This window comes from Homo sapiens, chromosome 8 (genome assembly GCF_000001405.40).
Source record: "Homo sapiens chromosome 8, GRCh38.p14 Primary Assembly".
Lineage (NCBI taxonomy): Eukaryota > Metazoa > Chordata > Mammalia > Primates > Hominidae > Homo > Homo sapiens.
In genome coordinates, this window is record NC_000008.11 from 59,135,880 (window position 1) to 59,141,130 (window position 5,251).

The following is a 5,251-nucleotide window of genomic DNA, read 5'->3' on the forward strand; positions in this document are numbered from 1 at the left end:
GATGTAGTGTTTGTTCTTCTTTTATGATGTCTTCCATATGCATCCTTCTCAACCAACCAGGAGTATATAATCTTCTTGAGAACAGGGATTCTTTTATTTTTCTTTTTTTTGAAACAGGGTCTCACTGTTATCCAGGATGTAGCACAGTGCCTTGCCTTAATCATAGCTCACTACAGACTTGAACTCCTGAGCTAAAGTGATCCTCCCACCTCAACCACCCAAGTAGCTGGAACTACAGATGTCCACCATGCCCGGCTAATTTTTTTATGTTTTATAGAGATGGGGTCTCACTATGTTGCCCAGGCTGGTCTTGAACTTCTGGGCTTAAGGATCTTCCTGCCTCACCCTCCTAAAGTGTTGGGATTGCAGGCATGAGCCATCACCACTGGCCTCAGAGAATAAGCATTTTGACTTTTGGATCACGGTATGACCTACAGCACACAGCTTATCATCTAAAAAGTAGAAGCTCATTATGAAATAGAAAAATGTGAAACATCTATAAATCAAACCATTCCATAAACGAAGTCAAGTCAAAATACAAATGACAGATTGGGAGAAAACCTTTGCAACTTATATAACAGTGTATTGTGATTCATAATATATAAATAATTTCTTTAAATTAAAAAAATTATTTAAAAAATGGATAAATGACAGTTATTTTACCAAAGGTGAAATGCAAATAAATGGTCAGTAATGTGGAAAAATTCTAATACTCATTAGAAATTGAGAAAGTGTAAGTGAAATCACTGCCCTCCAAATTTTAAACATATAGGCAAAAACTTAAAAAAGATTTACTTCTAGAAAAGAAAAAAAGAAAAGAAAAAAAAAGAAAAGAAATGAGGAGGGAGGAAAAACATTTATGTACAATGGGTAGTTATGAAAGGGTGTGAAAGAGTTTGAAATCACATATTTTATGTGTAATTATGTGTAGTGTATTAGTCTACTAGGGCTGCCATAACAAAGTACCATTGACTTAGTGACTTTAACAACATAAATGTATTTTCTCACAGCTCTGGAGACCAAAAGTCGGATATCAAGGTGTCTGCAGGGCTGGTTTCCTCTGAGGCCTCTCTCCTTGGCTGGTAGATGGCTTTCTTCTCTCTGTGTCTTCACATGGTCTTCCCTTTATGCCTGTGTCCTAATCTGTTCTTAGAAAGACACCAGTTATATTGGATTAGGGCCCACACCAACAAACACATTTTAATTTCTGTATCCCTTTAAAGATCTTGTTTACAGATATGGTTATATTTTGAGGTAGTGGGGGTTAGAACTTCAACATACAAAGTTTGGGAAGACATAATTCAGCTCATAACATATAGGGGTATACATAGGTAAACACATACTTACTAAACAGGTAGGTGCATGTTACAGAAACAAACCAAGTAGGATAAACTCCAAATTATTAGCAATGTTTACCTCTAGGGTTGGGATGGAATGGATAGAGAATATTTGATTCATTTTCCAATTGTAAAAGGTCTGGAACGATGGTCTTCCATATTTCCCTATTCACAATATAGACGAGGTGCAGGGTCCGGGGATGAAATGCATATGGGGTAAGGTTTATTTCCTTCTCTTTCTACACAGTCAGTATAAGAACACAGCTGTGTTAAACACCAGGAGGCTGTTCTGGTATTATTATTTGTTCCTTGTTCCTTTTTGAGCTTTTCAGGATTTTCAAATGATAATAACAATAATAAAGATAATAGAAATATCGTGTACAGAAACAATATCATCATCAGAGGCACACACTGCCCAGACGCTAGCCAATACTACTCCTACTCTTGGGCAAACAGGAAAGCTACATTTCCCAGCCTTCCTTGTAGTTAGTTAGATTGGATGATTTGACTGAATTTTGACCAAAGTAACATAGGTGGAAGAAAATAAGCCACTTCAAGTCTTGGCCTTAAAACATCTCTTGTTATCTTCCTTAGTTTGCTCCCTATCTTCTTGATAGCTTATTGAATCAGAGTATCTAGTGAGGGAACTCTGAGCCCATTCTCTGAGGTGACAGAGGCGTGTGGTAGAGGAAGAAGCTGGAGTTCCTGAGTCACCACATGGAGTAGATCCAAGATAGCCTGATTTATATCTGACTTTGTGTTAAGTCACTGTGTTTTATGGTTATCTGTTCCAGCAACTAACATTAATTACTATGACAAATATATAACCAATACTAGCTCTTTTCTATAAGGTAAATATCATCCATTAAAATGAAATATGTACACACGCTTCCAACTAGAAATTACTCTTCTAGGAAACAAAGCTTTACAATTAAAACCATGAGTATACAAACATGTGCTTGTAATGATATGCTTGCAATAGGAAAAAAAGTGAACTATATTTTCATCCATAGGTAAATGGTTCAAAAAATTATGGCATCATGATTTATTAAACCCTATGCAGCCATCAAAAAGAAAAATCTAGCTGTATGTACTAACTGGAAAGATACTGATCACATCAAGTTATTTTCACAACAAACCTGGAGGTAAATATCTATAGCATCATTTGTTTTTATAAAAGGTAGATGTATAAATGTGAATAAACTTAAGAAAAATTAGGGAGAATAATGTACACAACTTTATTTTAAATAATAACATTAGGTAGATGGATTTCAAAAATAGCTCCAATTCTTCACCTCTTTTTATTTATGTTCCTTGCAATACAACTTTGCAATTTCTTCTAGCAAGAAGTAGAGTCTGTTCTCCTAGTTCTTAAGTCTAGATTCATATTGGCATTTGCTTTTGACAATAGAAAATGATGGAAACTATGCTAGTTTTAAGCCTAGAACTCAAGATGCCTAGGCTCTTGAGTTCTAGGCTTAAAACTAAGCTAACTAAATTATGCCACCACTATGAGAGCAAGCATATGCTAGCATAATGGAAGAGACCAGCCAAGTTCAGCAAAGTTGTCTATGGATACACGAGCAACCCCAGCTGAGATCAGAAGGGCTGCCATCCTGCAAACCATTCCTACCTTCCATCCTTCTCTGTCTTCTTCCCTCCTTCCTTCCCTCCTTCCTTTTTGGCTTTTTCCTCCCACTCTTTCAGTAAATCTAAGACTTAGCGGTGTAGGGTACTCTAATAGACCATCACATCTACCATATTAGGCCTGTAGTGATTGAGATTAAGAAAGACACTTCTTAGCTCTGGCAACCTACATAGTAAATGGAGCCTTCATACAGCCAGTGCACTGGGAGGGTAGTGCAAAAATTATCATTACAGAACAAAATTATTCCCTTAATAAAACTGTTTCTTAATATATAGTCTGCTTTTTTCCTGCATTAAATGTTACCTACTTCTATTTTTTAAGTGGAAATATATGTATGTATGTATGTATGTGTGTATACAAACCCCCTCACAACACCCCTATATTTTATATTGTATTTTATATATACATATATAGTACATATATAATGTTCATACATAAAATATGTTATGTATTATATTCTTATATAATATATAGTATATATTATATATGTCTATATACACTTACATTTTGATATATTATATATTTATGTTTTACATTATGTTACGTATACTTATATTTTCTTATTTTTTATATACTTCTATATTATACAAACTTATATTTTTACATATGTTTACATTATACATAAAATCATGTAATGTAAATGTATGTATATTATTAGGGTGGTAAAAATGTAATTGTGGTTTCTGCCATTAGTTTTAATGTCAAAAAAACTGCAATTACTTTTACATCAACTGAATACATCTACGAATTTATATATACTACATATTAAAATATAAATATATACTATATAACATAAATATATATATTCTTTCCTATTAGCCCTCTGATACTGGTTACTCAGACAAATGAGATGTGTACATATGTTTTTATCCTTGCCTGCAGCATACAGGCCCTCTGTCTGTGGAAGTAAAGGGAATGAAGAGGCATAAAGCTGTTTATCTAGGGTTTGAAGGGCCATCCTGGTGGGGGTATCACCCAATTTCATTGAGATGGCCACATTTTCCCATGAGCGGCCTTTGCTAGGATGAGAAATTCTCATGAATAATTATGACAGTGCAACAGGAAGATGAATGGCTGTTCCAAGGGAGGCATCACACAGGAAGACTTTTTTAAGAACGCATCATATGAATGTTATAAATAAAACTAAGAGAAAAGCTGACGATTTTATCAGTTGTATTAAATTGTAATAGTTCATTAAATAATATCTCAGAATTGCTTTAGGTGCCAATTAGCTGATCCCCTCCCAACAACAATGGAAACAAGACTGCTGTTGAGCAAGACGTAGGCATAGCAAATAGTAAGTGCTGAATGGTTCCAAAACAGCCCTGGGGTGGAAGAACACTATTAACTGTAAAATAGCCAAATTAAAAATCATTGAAAGTTAGATTTCAATATGGTATTTTCTTTTTCAAGAGAAAGCATGAAATTACATTAAGGCTCATGTTGATTACTCAAAACAGAGAAATAAGGATCTCTTCTTTTGTACAGCAGTGTGTTTGCTGAGTACAAGCCTTCATTTTCCGCTACATTTCTCTGCCTCAGTACATAATTGTTGCCTTGTATGCCAGTTATTCCACACGTATTGAAGTACACCAAGGTGGTGAGCTAATCCTTCGGTTTAATGCAGTATTATGCTTAGAGTAAGATTCACAAATATTTTGAGTGAAGAAATGAATAAAGCTCCAAATTGGATGATTAAAATCACCTTGTATTCTTACAAGGGAATTGGTTAAACACAAAACACACTCAGTTAATGTTCAACTTCATGGGTAATCAGGAAATGCACATTAAATCATCTATGATACATCACTTTTCACCTAACACACACTGCAGTGAATTGTAAATTGCTACAACCTTTCTAGAAAGCAATTTGGCAAAATATATCAAGAGCTCAAAAGAGTTCATACCCTTTGTCAGGATAATAACACATCCAAGAATCTATTCTAAGGAAATAATCAGCGACACAAAGATTTTTGTACATCGTCTTGTAGCTGTAGCACTATTTATAATTGTAAAGATATTACGATTTTGAAACAATGTCTGAAAATAGAATTGTTGCATTTCTATGATTAAAGGGCTATGATTAAATGCTGTGACACCAATAATAATCACGTTTGAAGAACATTTAATCACCTGCAGAAAGGTTCAAGTTCGGTTTTGTATTCTGGTTGTGTGTATGTGAGAGAGAGAGAGAGAGAGAGAGAAATGCTTAGAAAACTCCTCCTGGTATAGAAAAAAAAAGGAAGCTGTATAAAATATATAACCA

General features: G+C 34.5%; 1 non-coding gene across 1 annotated transcript; it reads right to left on the minus strand.

Annotated features, from left to right (window-relative positions):
- Positions 1–1,492: 1,492 nt before the first annotated feature.
- Positions 1,493–1,623, minus strand: LOC124900267 (small nucleolar RNA SNORA51). Its single transcript, XR_007061205.1, has one exon. It is a non-coding gene; the product is annotated as a small nucleolar RNA SNORA51 (small nucleolar RNA).
- Positions 1,624–5,251: the final 3,628 nt, after the last annotated feature.